At 41.7% G+C, this 21043-nt stretch overlaps 1 annotated feature.

Moving 5' to 3' along the window:
- Nucleotides 1200-2399: an enhancer, noted in NCBI's record as "CDK7 strongly-dependent group 2 enhancer chr21:37006276-37007475 (GRCh37/hg19 assembly coordinates)". NCBI's record gives its function as "activates an origin of replication core promoter dependent on BRD2, BRD4, P300/CBP, MED14 and CDK7 cofactors, with strong dependence on CDK7, by STARR-seq in HCT116 cells {active_cell/tissue: HCT116}" and the evidence as "EXISTENCE:reporter gene assay evidence [ECO:0000049][PMID:35650434]".

Genomic DNA, 21043 nt, shown 5'->3' on the forward strand with positions numbered 1-21043 from the left:
GCTGTGCAGCGAAACTTTCCATCATGGTGGGAATGATCTATATCTGTGCTGTCCAATGAGGAGCCCCGAGCCACCTGTGGCTCAACTTGGAACATGGCTTGTGCAACTGAGAAACTGAATTGAAGGCCGTCTTGGCCACTGAAGGAGCCCCATTCCCACAGAGCAGGAAGGCTGCCCTGGTCAAACATGCTATTGCCTTTAGGATGCAGGGGAGCCTTTGAATAGCTTCTTTCAGTTCTCTTGCCTGGTTTCTAGCTGTGCTGGATCGGGGGGAGGCTGTGGCCTCCTGATCACTATGACATCCTAAACAACATTACCAGGCTTTACCTCACCACAAACACCTCAACATTCTAGAAGAGCAATGACCACCAGTGCTGGAACCAATAGCCATATGTAGCTATTTAACTTTAAATTTAAATAAATTAAATTTAAATAAAATTAAAAATTCAATTTCTCAGTTGCACAAGCCATATTTCAAGTTGAGCCACAGGTGGCTCGGGGCTCCGCATTGGACAGCACAGATACAGACCATTTCCGCCATAATGGAATGTTTCCCTGCACAGCACTCTTGTAGAAGGTACCTGGTCTAGCAGATGCTGAGTGGGCCTAGTTTTCTCCTTTTCTAAGACACAGAAACATAGAGGGTCTGACTTAAAGAACCCCCACGGAAGAGGCCTAAGTGCTGTTAGCATTTAATTAATTAATTAAAATTTGCCTTCAGCCTCCTGTAAGACAGACCCCCTGACTGTGGTCAGCAGTCGCACGCAGACTTTGTCATTTTGCTTACTGACCACACATTCTCATGGATCAATTCTAAATTGGATTATTGTTAGTTTTAAAAGCGCCTGAGCAGCAGAAAGCAGCCACGATGGCAGGCCAAGGGGAGATTGATAGCAGAATAAACAGGGAAAGTGACAAGATCCGAGGCTGAATTGATCACTGTCAGCGCGTCCGTGGTCAGCTGTCTGCCCTTTAGTGCCCAAAGTAAACATCAGAATAATGTTTAGACAAACACATTTGATTTTTGAGGTAATGGGTATGTCAACTAATGACAAACCTTAGAAAGGCCAAAGGGATATCCATTTTTCAGACTTTTTCAACCATTAATCGTTGATTTTGGTAGCAGTGCACTTCTAGGCAGAGCATAGAGGGAACTCTGGCGTGGGTGGGGACCAGGACAAACCTCCCTAGGATTCACCTGACCATCAACATTTTCCTCTATAATAAAATTTTGTTGGAAGCAGAGAGTTCATTCTTTAAAAATGGAAGCTTCACTGGATGCAGAATTTCAGTTGTCTAAAGAAAATCTGCAACAATCTTCTCAATCCTTCAAAGGGACATGGTCCATTAGCACCCACTAGAATTACATGGACCTTGCCTGTTACCAAAAACAAAACAAAGCATGGAAAATTGCTTTATCAGCAGCAGTTTACCATTGAGGAACTTATGCTACTGTTCCAAAAATAAGATATCGTTGGTGAATCACGGGTACCCAAAATTACAATTTGGGTACAATTTATCATTGGCGGGGTCATTTTTAATGCGATTTTTTTTTCTTTACACTACCATCCATTAACTGTGACTTGGGAGGCCAATCAGGATTGATGGCAACTATACTGAGAGCTCCAAAATTAACATGGTTTTTCTGATCGTGTAAGGCATTTTTCTTTTGCCCGCAGAGATGTGGCAGATGAAACCAGACGGGAATGGAATGTGGTCTAGAAATCGGCTTGCCTCTAGAAGGAGCTGAGTAGTACAACTCTGCTTCCCACAGAATATCATGGTGTGCGGGCATTTGCTTTGTTCATATCATAATCAATCAATCTGTTTAAATAATGCCACTTAGCAAAATGCTGGGACTCTCTAAAGTTCCTCAAGCACAGAAATGCACCCTGGAAGTCAGAGAAATGTGAAGAATGTATTTGGGTTGTACCTGTAAAACATGTGTAGCATGTACACCCCTCAGAGAAAATAGCATGATGGGAGAGAAAGCACAAAAACATATGGACGGCTGTTTCCTTAGCTGTGTACAATCCCAGCAAACTTACTGCGGAAGGTGGGTACGTAGGAAATAAGTGTACATTTGAATACATTTGCAGGGTGGGTGGTGTCGGCTCAGGCTGCCATAACAAAACACCCTAGACTGCATGGCGTAAACAACAGACAGTTATTTTCTCAGTTTTGGAGGCTGAAAGTCCAAGATTGAGGTGCCAGCACTGCTGAGTTTGAGTTCTAGTGAGGGCTGTCTTCCTAGCTTGTAAACAGATATTTACTTGACGTAGGGGAAAGGAGAGAGTGAGATCTCTCTAAAGTCTCCTCTTCTAAAGGCACTAATTCCATCATGAAGCCCCCACCTTCATGACCTCAATCTAAACCTTTGACTTTCCAAAGACCCCATCTCCAAATACCATCACATTGGGAGTCAGGTCTTCAGCACATGAATTGACAGTCAGAGGGACACAGTTCGGCCCATATTGGGAGGCACGTGGTTATCAGTTTTTGGAGGTGGTTGTTACTGATGTTCACCAATTTCCAGTTCTTGTCTATTTCTGGTGAAGTGCTGGTTACATGTCTTCACTCCCTTGAAATTCAGCTTGGCTATGTGATTAGTCATGGTTCATGAAATATGAGGTGTGTCACTTTTGGCATTTCATGACTGTTACTCAGCTCTCCTCCCATGTCTTCCCCTGTTAGCAAGCCCCAAAGCCCCTTGGGGAGGTCATGATGTCATAAAATGACAATCTAGTTACTATTGCTTCAAAAGAACTAAATGGCGTAAAATAATCATTGACTTATGCTCATGGAAGATGGGGATCTGTAGATAAATCAGGGTCTGTGAGTCCTGAGTCAGCAGTAGAATATGCTGCAATTAAAAACTTGATGTAAGAATATTATTTGGCCAAAAAGAAAAGGAAGGTGTACTGATCCATGCCACAGCATGGATGAATGTTGAGAACATTATGCTAAGTGAAAGAAGACAGGCCCAGAAGGTCACATATTGTATGATTCTGTTTATATGAAATAACCAGAATAGACAAACCTATAGAGACAGAAAACAGATTAGGGATTGCCAGAAGATGGAGGGATGGGGAACAGGAAATGATTGATTAAAAAATATGGGGTTTCTGTTTGGGATGATGAAAAAGTTCTGGAACTACATAGTGGTGATTATTCCACATTATACATGGACTTAATGTTACTGAATTTTATATGCTACAATGGTTAAAATGGTAAATTTTACCTCAAAAATAAAACTAATACGATATCCAAACATATTACAGAAAAATAGCATACAAAATCAAAGAACTAACTTCCTCCTTACACTCAGAATTTAAGGCCCTTACTGGATTACTGGGTGGAGTGTGGATCTGTCATATTAAAAATGACTGACTGAGAAATTAAAGAGCAATAGAAATAATAAGAAGCCTAGAAAGAGATGCTGTGCCAAAAAGTGACTAGATGTAGAGTGATTAACACTGGACAAGATGCAGCAATAATATTCAAGGATAGGAGGGTTTATCTAAGATTGTTTGACCTACCCATAGAGGTTCTATTAGGATAATGACAAAATAGTGTTTCTGCATAATTCCCTACCATAATTCATTTAGGCAAAAAAGTCCTATCCCAGAACCACTGGGGTGCTTAATGCCAACTTTTAATAAACTTGGTAGATAGAAATCCATTTTCATTATCTTCCCAAATTTCAATGTGTGGTGAAATTTGAATCTTTGTGCAATATCTTCCCCACAAATAGGGAAAGCTGACGGTTTTGCCATTTAGAAGACAGAGCATGAATTGGTGCCTATCGGAGAAGGAAGGTAAAAGATGCCTTTATCTAAGTAGATGGCTTATGTTATGATGATGTCCATTCCAGTTACTATTACTGCAAAAAAAACTGAACGGCATAAAATAACCATTGACTTATGCTCACAGAAAACAGGGACCTACTATGGCAGGTTGTCAGCCAGAACCAATGAGCAGAGTGGCAGCTGCGACCTGAGAGGTAATTCTCTGAATGAGAAAAGCCCTTTATTTGGGAGGAAAACTACATTGATAAGGTCAACTAACAAGCTACAGCCAGAATGCATAGCTAAGATGACCCAGAGAGTAAGGGAAAGGCCCAGACAGGTACAGTCAGGCTCACTTCCTAGTTAAAGTTGATATTTAGCATCCTAAGAATGTATTTTGTTTAGGTGTTTCTAAGGTAGTCATTTTGAAATTCGTAGACTAGCAGGCAGTAATAATTTCATAAACCAAACTGCCCAAATCCAATGATGAATATCTCATGCACAGTGGCAGCATCTCGGAGTGAGGGCAGACTTGGAGGAAGGACTGGAAAAATTCCATCTGGACCACTAGCCTTAAGCATAAAAATATAATAAATGATTCGGAAATGACTTTCACAGATAGACACATGTTGCCCTATGAGCGTCTTCAGGAATCTTCTTCAGAGAGGGCTTATTGTACACCATGGGTTAGAATTGCAAATCAGCATCTAAAGAGGGAGAAAGGGGTAAATTTAAAAAGCAGATTTCCACAGAGAGACACAAAGGAAGTCAAACAACAGGGAGAAAGAAACAAAAATGGGAAGCGAGAAAGTGGGATCAAAGGAGGGATCAAAGGAGATGAAAACGAGAAAGATGCCAAGAGAGAAAGACTCACTTCATCCTTTGAAATGTTCTGCTGCCCAATGGAGTAATGGGAGATTCTGTCATAGGTGGACACCTAAGAGGAAAGGAGGGAGGACGTGGTTGCCTTTTCATTTTGTCCTGCCCCTTGGCTTGTTCTTTCTGATCCAACACAGCGGAGTCTGCTTGTTCATTGGCCAAATGTCAACAAGTCACCATAAAGGGCTGCCAAGGAAAATGACCAGGAACACACAGCATGCCTGAGTCACTCATCTAATCTGCCCCATTGATATAAATTGCACAAAAGGACACTCTGTCATCATGAAAGGAGAAAGATGTGTACTTGGATTATCTTGAGCTTGACCCACTTACCAAGGACTTGGGAAACCAGGAGACCAGCCAAGTCTCCATCTCCCCCAGCCCCAGGGTGTATCATTTATACCTCCATCCACTCACCTATATCTGAATGTCCAAATATTCTGCAAACCTTTATAAATAATAGAACTGTGTGGAATGCAGTTTATACTCTCAAGAAGAGAGGAGGTATTTTTGTTGTTGTTGTTGTTGTTTGTTTGTTTGGCTGTTTCCACGTGTTTTCAGGTCTGCAACACTCTTCAGAACAAAATCAGTACTTTCTCTATAATGTGACTAGGAACCTGTCTTTTCCCCAGGTCTCCTGCAAAATTTCTAGCACCTTCCTCACACAAGTTGCAGGAAGCATAGAGCTTTGAAATTATAATGATGGAAAAGGAAATGGAAAGAAAGGCCCAACTTTTAGTCTTCTGGGACTCCAGATCATATTTATGCGTTCAAAATAGTAACTTTCTCCTAGAAAAGGGGGATGTGCCACCATTCTACACACTGGGTGGACCATTTCCTAGCTGGTGCTGCATTTGCTACAAGCCCACAGGGCCCTGGCAGAAACCCCCTCTGATTTCTACCACTGTCCTTTTTAAATGCAGCAACAGCCAAAATCTACACTCTCCCTGCATTGCATCTGTTTCATTTGCATCCCAGGTTTCTGCAATAAAGCAAACCCCCAATTTATTAATTTTTTTGAAAAGATAACGTAAGTCTAAGAAGGTTACCAAGTGTCTTCAGCTAACCAAAAATTTAAAGACCAGCAAGGATTTAGAATTCCCTATACTAGACCCCTGATCAGTAATCAGGTGGCGTATTGTTTGTTTGTCCATTTGTTTGTTTGTTTTCCAGGCATATTATGATGTGAGGTTCTTTAGCTACATATGTGCATCTCCTTAAGTGGTCTCAGTGATTTCCAGTTTTGCAGGATATACCTGGAGCTAGAATGATGCAAACAAAAATTTTAGATTTAAAAAAATATTTTAAATATAAAAAATTAAAAATAAACCCTAAATTCAGAATTTTCCAAGAGCTAAATGCTCTGAGGGCCAGTCCCAGCTACTTTCCAGCTGTGTGAGCTGAGGCCAGTTACCTAAATTTCCCGTGCATCAGTTTCCTGCATTGACAAACCTCTGGTAAGGATTTCTGCCCTACATAGCTCACAATACCAAAATGAGAAAATGGGAAAGTGCTAAGAATTATAAAGCATTCAAATATGAGGTCTTATGACTGCTAACACAGACTTCTGCCCACAATAATCACTAGAAGACGTACGGGTTATGTATGTTCAAGTCACCTATAAAGTAACAAATCAGCAACTTCCTATCCAATCCACTACATAGCTTCCTCCCATAACCTAACCATGTGTGTGCTAATAGCCTACCTACAAATGGATTTCTCTCTATGACATTCAACACCCATTAATATTTATGCAGCTGTGTCCAGGTTAAAAAATAAGTCAAGCCAAGGTAAGAGGCATTTTTTAAAAAATTATTTTATAAGTTAAACAGTAAAATTGACTTTTTTCCCTTTTGGTGTAGAGTTCTATATATTTTAACACAGCTGTAGGTTGGTATAACCACCACCACAATCAGGATACAGAACAGTTCCATCACCCTAAAAAAATTCCCTATGACTCTTCCTTTATAGTTCCACTCTTTCCCCTGCCCCAGCTCCAAAAACCATTGATCTGTTCTCTAGATCTATTCTGATATTTTCAAAATAGGTCAGATAAATTGAATTATACAGTATACAGCCTTTTGAACCTGCCTTTTTCCATTCAGCATAATGCCTTTGAAAATCATCCAAGTTATCACATGTATCATCTGTTCTTGTTTATTGCTGAATAGTATTCCATGGTATGGATATACCAGTTTGTTTAATCATTCAATTGTTGAAGGACATCTGGTTTATTTCTAGATCTTGGTAATTTTAAACACAACAGCTATAAACATTTATGTATCAGTTGTTGTGTCATCATAAGTTTTCGTTACTCCAGGATAAACCCCAAGAGTGGGATTGCTATTAAACAGTGACTTGTAAATATCAACATCACATTAAACATCCAGATTTTATTCAAGTCATCCTCATAATATAAGAGACTGATATCACTATTAATCAATGCTCAAAAACTAATATGCCCTAACCCCTTTGAAAATTTGAGTTGTTTCATCTACAGCCATACCACTCTGAACACACCCCATCTCATCTGAAAATTTGAGTTGTTTTGATATATTTTGTGGTATTTGATTTTTTTGTGGTATTACTATTTTGCATAAATGTTAATGAAAAATATCATTTTAACAATTGTAAAAACATTGCAGTGATGCTTTCAAGAGTTCTTCCTATTGACTTAGAAATACTCATTCAATTTCCCAAAATAAAGTAAAATTTAAAATCTAAGTAGAAAGGAACCACCACATCAGAGTCTGAGTTAACACAAACTTGCTCTGGCATAATTGAAAAATCACTATGCTAAACTTTGTAAAGAATACACCACCATTCCCCCACCCCCCATGAAGTACACCCTAGAGTGTTTGAAGATTATATTATGAGTGGCCCAAATGCCTGTGTTTGGCATTTGTTAAACAATCCTAGAGGAGCTGCCATCCTTGGGGTTCTGTGGGTTCATCCATGGCTGACACCTCTCATCCTGAATCCCTTGGGTCTCACAGGCCCTGGAACAATCTATATTCTCCCGGTTGAAGATGACAGCATGTCAGTGTACTTAAAATTCAATTTCATTCTTCCTAATCTATGCACCATTATGCAGGTCTTTGAAATAGTCTCCAAAGAAGGTAAGTCTATATTGATTCCATTCCCTTACATAGCAACTGGTGTGTAGCAACCCATAGTATAATATGAGGGGGAGAAAATATTGATTCTGGGAAACTTAATATTATTAAAAGACAGTTGTATTAAATCTCTTTCCTGGATTTAGCTGAGCACTTTTTTTTTCATTTTTCCATTTTCAAAAAAATCAATGAAGCTAATACTCTTGTTAGTTTTAGAGTTTCTACGACAGCAGTTTCATGTCACCATAGAACCTACGGGAGGTTTGTAGGCTCAGCACTCAAGGCTTGGAGTCCTCTGCTGACTGATGAGCATAACATTTCTCTCTTCAGTTATTCCGGCCACTCAGAGCGGGCAAGTAGTATTTAAATTTTATTTTCCATGGTATCTGTTTTCCTTGGTGTGTAAAAGTCTCAAGATATGGCTTAGCCTTAGTTATAAACGCCTAAGTGCATGTGATGAAGCTCATTACACACATGCAATTTTCAGTTTGAGAGAAGTCTAAAGAAATAAAATCAACGTGGGGTGGGGGGAGGTTTTTTTGATGGAAAACACCTGCCAGTTGAAAATCCCAGAATCTGCTATTTAAGATTGTAAGTCACATTTTCTTTTTTGAGGACCATCCAAACTTGAGGTATTTTTTTCTTTCTTTCTTTTTTTTTTAACAAAAAAAGGAACAGCTGCTTCTGATTTGTGACAAGATTAAAGCATTTTGGAATCTCTCTCCAGATATCTAATTTCTGATAGAATGTCTGTTGTGTCATTATCAAATATAACAAGACTGTAACATGGCTCCAGAGTCAATGAACCAAACACTGGAATCTTCTTCTAATTATATAATATAAAACTACTTATAATTCTGATGCCATGAATTTGGAATTCATGATTAAGATGGGTTAGGCTTTTGCTAAGCAAGTGTTTTCTTCATAGATACTGCAAACCATATTTTAAAAATAAGATGGCAAGAATAATGCTGAAAATATGTGAAAAACAAACTATTTCCAAATCCCTGAAAGAATCTAGAAGCCACAATTAGCATGAAAATATTTGTGGTGCTTTTAATGGTTATTTTATATCTCTGTCTCTGGCTTCTCTGGAGAGTGGTGCTCTCAGCTGCCAGGAGAACAACTAAGACCACCTGGATATTCCAGACCCCATAAATGCATATGCTCCAGACTGGATTTGATTTTTGTACTCCTGCTAATTGTTCCTGCTGTTTTCCCATTTTCCCATCTTCACTGCCATCTACAAGAGAAATTCAAAAAGCGACCAAAGATCGTTGGCTTGGTGGACACAGCTTAGGAAATTTCAGTCTAATTTGCCTCCTCTCCCCTAGAATCCAGCATGCTGCCTCCTCCTTGCTCGCCTGGACCATGGCAACGGCCTCCTGAAGGGCTTCCAACCAGTATCTCTTCCCCAACCTCTGCAATCAGAGGGAGCCTCCAGAAAAAAAAAAAAAGGTGTCAAATGATATGGAAAACCACCATGGGCTTGACACCGCCTGTTGGATAAAACAGTCATCAGCACTGAGTACCCCAGCGAGGCTTTACATGGAGAGATGAGGAAGAAGAGCCCAGGCAGGCAGCAAAGAAGAAATACCTACGTCATACTTGGGTCATGGTAAGAAGACCAAATTGGCTCGAAAAGGGATTTTTTATAAGTGATGGTTATAGAAGATAACTTCAAAGAGGTGAAGGGGGTCCAGATCAGTGAAGACTTGAAAGGCTCAGCCTGAGACTTTCTGACTTTATCCCTCATGCCATGGGGAGCCATAGAATGTTCATAAGCAGAAGAGGCAGATAAAAGCACAGTCCAGTTGGAATCACCAATCACTCCCCCAATAGCACACACACCATTGAATGTCATTAGGCTACTAATTATTTTTCCTAGTGACCACCCCCATTGTCTTTCACTAAGAAAAAACAATTTATTGACAAGTAATTCTTTAGGTGCTTCCCTTTCACACACTTTCAATTTTTAAGTAACACTTTATACTGGCCTAACAAACATAAATGACATTCTAGAGATTTACAATATATTAGTATAATATTAGTGTACGATTTAACGTGTTGGCTCTTTCTCCAGAGATGGAAAAAAAGCATAATACATCATCAGATTAAATATTAACATATTAATGAAAAGACTTCATTTCTCTGAACCAAAGAAAACGAAAACAATGATGAAGAATGCATTAATGAGGGTTTTAAGCATAAATGACAGAAATTTTAATGCCACTTCCAAATATGCTAACTTACTTAAAATTAGAATAAAATGTATCAATACTTACAGATTATCAGAGTCACCTTCTATCCTGACCAGTATGTCACAAGCCCCTAAGCTGACCAGTTGTCACTTCCAAGATATCTCTAAAGCAGCTCAAATTTACCATGGCCAAAGCTGAATGCATTATTATCTTCCCCAAATCTTCTCAGTCTCCGTTAAGGGAGTAAGTGTCCACCTGTTCCCCTAAGCTAGAAATGTCATAATCCTCCCTGTCTCCTTTTTCTCTCCCTAAACCCCTGCATTGGTTCCCTAATACTCATCACTTTTATCTCCAAAATGTCTGTCTGAATCAGGCTCACTCAGCATTCTCACCATCAATGCCTTACCATCAATCAACCTCCCAAAAGATTTCAGTTGCCTCCTAAACAGTCTCTTACCAATACTCCAACAGCCAGCTGGTCTCTTCTAATCTGAACATTCCTGGAATCCCCTTTCCCCCTCCTCCACCGGACAAACCTCTCTTACCCTTCCAGCCTGAACTCCAATGTCACTTCCCTTGCATTCTCATCATCTACCACTTCCTTCCCAAAAGAATGAACAGTTTCCTCCTCTACATTCCCTCTCCTATGTGTTCTTTCTTGATTACAACACTCATCCCATTTCTACTATGACTCAATGCTTAAGAATCTGTGTCCTTGGCTGGGCTTGGTGGTTCACACCTGTAATCCTAGCACTTTAAGAGGCCAAGGCGGGCGGATCACAAGGTCAGGAGTTCGAGAACAGCCTGGCCAACATGGTGAAATCCCATCTCTACTAAAAATACAAAAATTAGCCGGGCATGGTGCCGGGCACCTATAATCACAGCTACTCGGGAGGCTGAAGCAGGAGAGTTGCTTGAACTCAGGAGGTGGAGGTTGTGGTGAGCCGAGATCGCACCACTGCACTCCAGCCTGGGTGACAGAGCAAGACTCCATCTTGAAAACAAAAAACAAAAAACAAAAACAAAAAAAAAACAATCTGTGTCCTCTGATACATTTGTGCATTTATTGGGGTTCAGGACCGTGTGTTATTCTTCTTCGAGTTTCTAGCGAGTGGGGGTTCATGCCACCCTCACCACACTCTCCTTTGAGTAAAGTGATGCATCTCATCCAAAATGTCATCATTTGCAATTTAAGCTTTTAAAATTTTCATAGCTGCACATCTTGCCTCATGTAAATTACCTTTGCCCAACCTTCTTTTGTAGGTGTTTCTATTTGGTCTTCTTAAGAATGGACCACTTACATGCAGAATTTGGTACAAGATTTTACCCCTGGCTGGATGCCTAAATGACATACAGAGGAAAGGGCGGATAGGGTAAAAGATCTATATGTACTTCGGCATGTACCTCGATAGCCCACAACCCAACCCTGGCATTGGCTTCTAGAGAAAACAGCTATGCAGAGAGAACCACCTGTGCTCCCAAAGTAGAGACTAGAATGTTCTATGATTGATAATCATCCGTGGGCAAAAGCAACAGCATGGCCTCTGAAGCGATCACTCCTCATGCCAAGTAAACGGCTTTCTCAGCCCACACCTGCCCTGAACTAGTCAATTACCAACGTTGAGAAAGCAGGAAATGAATGGCTCATGATTTTAAGCATCAATAATTTAAATAAAAAACTCATAAAGAGTCATCCTTCTTCCTGGAGTGTAAATGAATGTGATTCTAAGTGTATGGTAAAGACACAATAATTGCCAGCAAATTAACTCCCAATGAAGATGCAGAGGGATATCTGTCTCCTTTGACTCTTGGACAATTTCCTTCCAAAGGGATTTTATTGTCCCACATTAGGAGTGAGAACTCAACTCAGTACAGGCCGTGCTTCTGTGTTGAAGAATGATCACCAGGCAGTCACATAGGAGCAGCTTCAGCCAGCGACACTGGTATCCCCACTTGGGGCTGACAAGGTTATGTACTCTGCAACCAGTGTTCTGCAAATCCAGTCATGAGTTGGTCCAGAGTTGTTTTTAGATAAAGAGAAGGCAGTTCTTCTCTCACCCAGATCCTCTCTGGCACACTGACCTTTGAGAATAAGAAGTGTACATGTTTTAATTCTATGCTCAGCAATGTACTGTTGTATTTAGTCAGAGGCTGCATAAGAATAATTTTCTAGAACTCAAACTGGTGTCAGATCTCTGTTAAATTGCAGGTGGCTTCCCCACCCTTTTTGCCTTCATCATCTCTCTCTAGTTTGAGAGTCTTCTCTACCCTGAAATTTTCACCAGTCTGTTTAACACAAAGTAACTTTGTGAGACAACCTTGTTAAAACTAAGGTATTGGAGGTCCTATGTGTTATCTCCTCCACTGGAGGAGATCGCTTAAAAATCATTTGGAAGTTTCTTTTGCTGTGCAGAAGCTCTTTAGTTTAATTAGATCCCATCTGTCAATTTTGGCTTTTGTTGCCATTGCTCTTGGTGTTTTAGTCATGAAGTCTTTGCTGATGCCTATGTCCTGAATGGTATTGCCTAGGTTTTCTTCCAGGGTTTTTATGGTTTTAGGTCTTACATGTAAGTCTTTAATCCATCTTGAATTAATTTTTGTATAAGGTGTAAGGAAGGGGTGCAGTTTCAGTTTTCTGCATATGGCTAGCTAGTTTTCCCAACATCACTTATTAAATAGGGAATCCTTTCCCCGTTGCTTGTTTTTGTCAGGTTTGTTAAAGATCAGATGGTTGTAGATATGTGGCGTTATGTCTGAGGCTTCTGTCCTTTTCCATCAGTCTATCTCTCTGTTTTGGTACCAGTACCATGATGTTTTGGTTACTGCAGCCTTGTAGAATAGTTTGAAGTCAAGTAGCGTGATGCCTCCAGCTTTGTTCTTTTTGCTTAGGATTGTCTTCGCTATATAGGCTCTTTTTTGATTCCATTAGGGAGTTGAACGATGAGAACACATGGACACAGGGAGGGGAACATCACACACCAGGGCCTGTCAGTGGGTGGGGGGCTAGGGGAGAGATAGCATTAGGAGAAATACCTAATGTAGGTGACAGGTTGATGGGTGCAGCAAACCACCATGGCACGTGTATACCTATGTAACAAACCTGCACGTTCTGCACATGTATCCCAGAACCTAAAGTATAATTTTAAAAATCATCTGGAAAGGATTTGGTATGTACATACCACAATTTGTCTATCCATCCATAAACTGGTGGACATGAAGGACTGACCCATGGGACAACGTAAATGAGCCTTGAAACCATGACATTAAGTGAAAGGAGCCAGACACAAAAGACGATGTGCTGTATGATTCCATTTATATGAAATGCCCAGAAAAGGCTAATCCACAGAGATAGATGCAGATTGGTTGCTACCAGGGCTTAGAGAAAGGGGAAATGAGAAGTGACTGCTCAGTGACTATGGGATTTCCTTTTGGGGTGATGAAAATGTTTTGGAACTACAAAGGATGATGGTTTCACAACATTGTGATTGTACTTAATGCCACTGACTTATTCACTTTAAATGCTTGACTTTAGGTTATTCAAATTTCACTTCAATTTTAAAAGGTGAGGGAAGTGGGGGAATCTATACTTGACCAAGTATGAGTCTCTGATGGTGAAATTTCAGAAGTAGTGGGAATAGAAAAGAAGTTTCCTATTAAGATGCTTTCACAGGGTCTCTAAATCGCAGGTATGCCTGCCTCCGATGTTTCACCTTTGTTGGGGCCCTTCTGGAAAGCCCAGTTAGTGCAAAGAAACCAAGCCAGGTTGGCCTCAGCCTTTCATTGGATGTATCCACCTTGTGTGAAGAAAAATAAAAAGATTATATAATAAGCAACTAATGCTAACCAGTATTATTATTATTGTCAATATTCTATGCTGACCTTCTACTTTCTGTGGCCTAAAATTAGATTGTGTATTGTTTATGAAACTTTCACTTGGGAATGTTTTTTAGGTTACGTGGGTTTTCTGCTGCTGTGGCAGCAGCAGGACCAAGCCAAGGCAAAAGGCCCAGTGTTACTCACAGTTGGCTTTATGATTTCACCCAAGGACAGGGACCAAGGCACGCAGCTGAAAAAGCAACATTGGTTTCTGGTCTCTGATGACACATGTGTTTCTTCTTCCTTTCTCATGCTCCCAGCAAAACAGAGTCCTACCCAGTGCCTTCCCCAAGGAGACCCTGGTTGTTGAGACTCTAGACTACAGCATCTAGAAGTCTGAGACTTGAAACCCATCTCACTCAATTCCTGTTGGGTCTCTGATATGAACATCAGCCCTTCTCAGGGCAGGAATTTGACATTGCGAAAGGGAAAAATAAAGAAATGAGCTTTGGGCATGTACAGTTTTTCTGTCCTGCTTTTTTTAAATTTGAGAAGAAGTATGTTCAACATTGTCTTTCTACAATAAAACCAGAAACATGGCATATCTCTCAGGGTCCAGTCAGGAGGCAGCCATCACTCCAGCTATTTTAACAAGGAAAATGTAACACAAATAACTGTTAACTATTAAAGGTGGTTAACTACTGATATAGTCTGTCTGGGTCCCCACCCAAATCCCATCTCGAATTATAGCTCCCATAATCTCCACAAGTCATAGGAGGAACCCAGTGAGAGGTAACTGAATCATGGGGTGGGTTTTTCTTGTGCTGTTCTTGTGATAGTGAATAAGTCTCATGAGATCTGATGGTTTTATAAATGGCAGTTCCCCTGCACAAGCTCTCTTGCCTGCCACCACGTAAGATGCACCTTTTCTTCTCCTTTACCTTCCGCCATGATTGTAAGGCCTCCCCAGCCATATGGAATTGTAAGTCCATTAAGCCTCTTTTTCTTTACAAATTACCCAGTCTTAGGAATTTCTTTTTCTTTTTTTTTCCTGTTTTCTTTTTTTTTTTTGTGATGGAGTCTTGCTCTGTTGCCCAGGCTGGAGTGCAGTGGCGCGATCTTGGCTCACTGCAACCTCCGCCTCTCGGGTTCAAGTGACTCTCCTGCCTCAGCTTCCCAAACAGCCAGGATTACAGGCACCCACCACCACACCCGGCTAATTTTTGTATTTTTAGTAGAGATGGGGTTTCACCATCTTGGTCAGGCTGGTCTTGAACTCCTGACCTTGTGATCCACCCAACTCGGCCTCCCAAAGTGCTGGAATTACAGGTGTGAGCCACTGCACCCGGCCCTCGGGTATTTCTTTATAGCGGTATGAAAAGGGACTAATACAACTACTAAAAGGAACTTTAAAAGGACCTTAAGGAAGCAGCAAAAGAGCAGCTATTACCTCTAGGCTGAAGGACAGTGAAAAATTAAAGGAACCAAGGATGGGCAGAGGGACCTTCTACCTCCACTGAGGCTGAGGTTCAGATCTCTTCAGAGATTTTTGCCAAATGTTATTCTTGTTCATGCCAAGCCTGCCTTGTGGGAATGAATAAGACAGATCACCATTCCTGTCCCTTATTACTGATCAGTTAGATTGCATGGCAGAAAGGTCAGTATCCTCGGTGTCTGCAAAGTGGTTCTTTCCCCCTGCATCGTGAGGGAGGGCACCACACAACTGTAAGAGTTGAACTCCAAGGAGAAGACTCTTGGTAAACTCATTATTAGAGACTTTTATTTAAAAGTTTTTTTGCTTTTTTTTTTGCCAAATATTTTTTTGGGCCAACATTTTTTCCTAATTTTTATTTGCTGCCACAGGAACTCACAAATGGCTGGTGGAGAAGCTTTCTGGAAAGCAAAGGCACGGGGTGGTCTGCAGAAGCAGGCCATCTCTTGTTGTAGGAGGCTGTGGGCAGGAAGGAGCTTCTGAGAAGTGACCAGTGCTGGGGAGAGCATGGCCTGAGGCAGAGCTGGGGCTCAGGTGCATGTGCCAGGTGCTACTGCATTGAATGATAATAACTAGCCAAGTCCAGAACTCAGCAGGGATGTTCCTGGCACTACACCACTCTGGCACCCTCTACTGATGACGTTTACATTCACCCAGCTGGCTAAGAAGAAATGTTTACAGGGTCCACTTCCAGTATCACAAAGCAGAGCAGGGAAGGATGAATTTGAAGCTGAGAGACAATAAATTGACACCTGCCATAGATGGGGATTGCCATTCTCCCTCTGATCTCACTTCCAGTGTAGGTAAACCCTTCGCACCAGTGAGCTGTTATCAGAGTGTCTTCATCCATGAACGGAACATGGACAGCCTGCTTCACCCAACTCCAGCTGCCAGTACTCAAGGGTATTTCCGGGCAGGTCAAAGAACATCACTAAACTTTCTAAATCGGTAACAGAAATATTTTCACAATGTCTTAGGTAGAGGAAAAAAGTCAAAAGGAGGACGTTCGTAAAGTTAGGCGTGCTCCCTTGAACTCAGTTTTCTTTTCCTCTTGAGCACTCAGACAGACTTTCTATCTTCCTTTCACAGTTAAAGTAGACCGACATGACTGGGTCTAGCCAACGGAAGATAAACAAAAATAATCTATCCCACTTCCAGGTCTGTCCCCTAGAAGACCTCTGGCACGATCCCTCCTGCCTTCTCTTTTCCTGGACCCAAACACTGACTGCAGAGAAGATCTCAGGAAAGAGCAGAGCATCTAGGAAAGCAGCCTGTTTCTGAGTCACCACCTGGAGGAGGGCCTCCCTGAAGAGTTGCCCAGCTGGAAATATTCTAATTGGATTGTGAGGAGAGGAAGCAATAGCCCTTCGTGCCCTGGTTCTGAAAACGTGATTCCCAGACCAGTGGCATGAGCATCACCTGGAAACTTGTCAAAAATGAAAATTCTCAGGCCCCACCTCAGACTTAACCAGAAACTCTGGGAGTGAGGGGCCCAGCAGTTAGGTGATTTGGGTGTTCTAAAGTTCAACAGTCACTGCCTTATTGTGCAAAAACACTAAATTTGGAGGGTTTTTTCCTTAAGGCACATAGACAACCAATCACATAAAACTCAAACTAAACCCTCGTCATAAAAACCTTAAACAAAGAACTTAATAACCACTTAAAATGTGTCTGCCCAGTAACAGCCCTTTCCCAAGGCAGACCTCCTCCTTGCCTGGGCACTAGACTGCCTTTGTGGGACTAACATTAGCCACAAGCTTAGAAATTATGGTTTAGGAGTCATGCAGCTGCGGGCTACCAGATTCTGACTCTCCCTAAATTGCTCCTAAGATCAGTGCTTCAGATAGTTTGCAGACCCTGCACTTGATGGATCAGCTGGCCCCACCCAGATCAATAAACTGGTTCATCTGATCTTGTGGCTCCCACTCAGGGACTGACTGAGTGCAAGAAGACAGCTCCAACTCCCTATGATTTCATCACTGACCAATCAGCACTCCTGGCTCACTGGCTTCCCCCCACCCACCAAGTTATTCTTAAAAACTCTGCTCCCTGAATGCTCGGGGAGACTGATTTGAGTAATAATAAAACTCTGGTCTCCCACAAAAATAAATAAATAAATAAATAAATAGGCTGGGCACGATGGCTCACCCCTGTAATCCCAGCATTTTGGGAGGCTGAGGCTGGCGGATCACTTGAGGTCAGGAGTTCGAGACCAGCCTGACCAACATGGTGAAACCCCATCTCTACTAAAAAATACCAAAAATTAGCCGGGCGTAGTGGCAGGTACCTGTAATCTTAGCTACCCGGGAGACCGAGACAGGAGAATCACTTGAACCTGGAAGGCAGAGGTTGCAGTGAGCCGAGAGTGCGCCATTACTCCAGCCTGGGCAACAAGAGCAGAACTCCATCTCTAAATAAATAAATAAATAAATAAACAAAATGTGTCTGCCACCTCACCAGGGATTGTTGTCATAGCTCCATCATCCACAACACCCCTGAAGAGTCCACACATCCACAAGACCCCTGAATAGACCAGGCAGAGACAGCACTGGTGTTGCAGACTTCATGCTTTTCGATGTTTCACTGTTTTACTGCCCATACTACCTATTTCGGATCTGCACATTTGTTCTAAGCCTGAATCAAGCTGATTAGGTTGCTATAAGGTTGAAGGTTTATTAACCTCAGATATCACCTGTGACATTTGACTGGAAGCCAGAAAACAAGGGCTGTGTTCATTAATTGAGCTACTTTAGACAAGTGACTTAACCTGCTCACTTTTATTGCTTTCTCTGAAAAGTCAAATAATCCCCGACAGACCTGCTTTAAAATCACCTGCAGGAAAAAATCTCAAAAAAGAATAAGACAATAGATTGCATTTCCATATTTAGAGATATTCCATATGATCGTTTTTACATTCATCAAAGTTTAAACAACAGAAAACACCAAGTGGTTCCTCTTCCACTCCTTACAACAGCCGTATACAGGAGACTTTGAAGAAACAAACTAAGTAAACTCATATTCAATGTAGAACTATCCAAATGCAAAGTTTTCTACTTCAGTTATTGACTTAAACATAACGTCACCTCTAGAAAAGTGTGGGTTGTTTAATTTCTCAAATATAAAGCCCAAATTTGAAAAATTTTCTGACAAAAAAATAATCATTTAAGGAAAATAGGAAGAAATAGGAGCATCTGATGTCAAAGGGATATTTTTAGTGAGCCACGTCGGTAAACCAGTCCTGCCAGGAATGTGGTGCTTCAAAGGAGAGTCCTAGCATTTAGCTCCAGCTCCACACAAAGCCACATCTTCAGCACTTAGTTCAGGAGTAATTACCATCTAACTGGCACTGGGGTGGAAGGAGAAGAGAACTATATTCATCTTGTGATTAAATGGCAATTAGCAACTAAGTGCCTTGCAATAATGTGGCACTCGCGACCTCTTCACAGCAGCTTCCCCTGCCAATACCACCAGCCTTCTGGGTATCAAAGCCCAGTACATCAGGGCTAGGACCCCAGGGAATCCCAAGGCTGACCTGCACACCAGCTAACATAGGTTGGGTGGAGGCACAAATTAGTGGTTAAGAGCATGGACTCTATAGCCAAGCTGCCTGGATTCCAAACACAGCTCCACCACTAGCAGTCTGCCAACTTGGTCAAATTACCTAAACCTTTCTGATCATCAGTGTCATCATCTGAAAACTGGGGGAAATAGTTGTTTCTAAGATGTAGCTTGATTGTGAGGCTTAAGTGAGTCAAAAATGCAGAGCATTGGCTGGGCACGGTGGCTCACGTCTATAATCCCAGCATTTTGGGAGGCTGAGGCAGGCGGATCACCTGAGGTCGGGAGTTCGAAACCAGCCTGACCAACATGGAGAAACCCCGTCTCTACTAAAAATACAAAGTTAGCCAGGCATGGTGACGCATGCCTGTAATCCCAGCTACTCGGGAGCCTGAGGCAGGAGAGTCGCTTGAACCCAGGAGGCGGAGGTTGTGGTGAGCCAAGATCGCGCCATTGGACTCCAGCCTGGGCGACAAGAGTGAAACTCCATCTCAAAAAAAAAAAAAGGCAAAGCATTTAAGAGAGTTCCTAATACATGGTGAAGCCCCAGTCAAAAAAGGCTAATGTTTCCCTAGGCTTCAGTAGCTTCCCCTCCACAAGCCTGGGATAGATTAACTCTTTTCTGCCAATGCATTGTTTAATGTTAAATATAATATTTAAATGTATTATACTGCTCCAAACAAAAACTAAACAAAACAAACATCTTTTCAGTCATGAATCCTGGTTCATCCTATTCCCAAGGGTCCACCTTCAGCTGTTCCAAGTTATGAAACAAATAGAAGCAAGTTTTAGGAAGCCCTGGACAGTAACTATTGCCCAAGAATAAGCCTGTGGATCTGGAACAGAGATTGAGAAGTCCCACCTCTCCAGCAGAAGTAAATGTGGATGGACCAACGTCATGCCAAAGTGAAGACACACGTGATCAGCTCTTGATGATCTACAACAAGGTAGCCTCTTAGGCTGGCATCTCCTCTTGTCAAAGTGATTGTGAATTTGATGCACAAACTATTTCCAAAATTAGTTTTAAAACATAAGTAGAGGATAAATCTGTTGCAAACCATAGCGCTTCTTTAAGGCTATTCCTCTGTAGCAGCAGGTGTCTATTTGCTCTCCCAGTTCTTGCCCGACTTTGCTCTGTGTCACAGAAACCTTCATTCCCCACACTCCTTGCTCTCTGGCTTCTAAGTAGTTTTGGCCAATAGAAGGCAATGGTAAGACTGGAGAGTCTTACGCTACATAGAACAGGACCCCCAACAGTGCCCACATCTCCTCTGTGAGCTGAGCTCCCACCAGAGAGCCCTTCACTCTGGGTTCTCAACTCCAGCCAGGCAGCCCCCACTCTGGGGCAGGGCGACCCCACACTGAGCAGTCCCCTAGTTTTGATATCTCATCCTTCCATTGTTCCTCCAGTCCAAGAGGTGGCAGTAGAATATTCTTATTGTGAATTACTGATTGCCTCGTGGTTCTCTGGTGGTTTCTCAGCTCTTACATCACCTGTATAACCAATTCCCTTTATTAAATTCCCTCTGTTTGAAAAGCCTAGGTTGGATTTTTGTTTCCTGAAGGGTTGGGGTCTCTGACTAATAAGCCATTAATTGTATTTATGTGTCATTCTCCCTCCATGATTTCAGTGTTAAAAGCACTGGAGTAGGAGTCAGGAGTCCTGAGTTCTGGTCCCAGGTCTGCCCCTAATTGACTGTGTGACCATAAGCATGCTTCTCTGTGCCTCAGTTTCCTGAGCTGGCTCAAGCACATTCACGGGCAAGCCATTTCACATTAACAGCAGAATCAGGACAAGGTGATCCAATCTGTTTTGGGGGTGAGGGAAGAACTGCAGGGGGGCTTGGGTCATTGCTGCGTATGTGTTTGTATGTCTTATATGAGCTTGTAATTTCCCAGGGAACTCATAGGTACATAATTTCCTCTGTACTCATGATTTTCACCCTAATTTTTCACATTTAGAATTAAAAAGAGTTTAGCACATTAACATTACAAAATAAGGACTGCTGAGGCTAATACTATCCCTATTAATACCCCAACCAAATTAGTATAAAAACACTGGATAATAAACATGAAAATATGGTAAATTCAGGGCCTCAGAAAGTAGATTTGTGTTTTCTTTCTCTTTTCTAAACTAGCAGTTCCAGTATGACTAGTTATGGGCCACACAGGAGCATAGCCATGTAAAATTCC

Source organism: Homo sapiens, chromosome 21, assembly GCF_000001405.40.
Source record: "Homo sapiens chromosome 21, GRCh38.p14 Primary Assembly".
NCBI classification, from domain to species: Eukaryota; Metazoa; Chordata; class Mammalia; order Primates; family Hominidae; genus Homo; species Homo sapiens.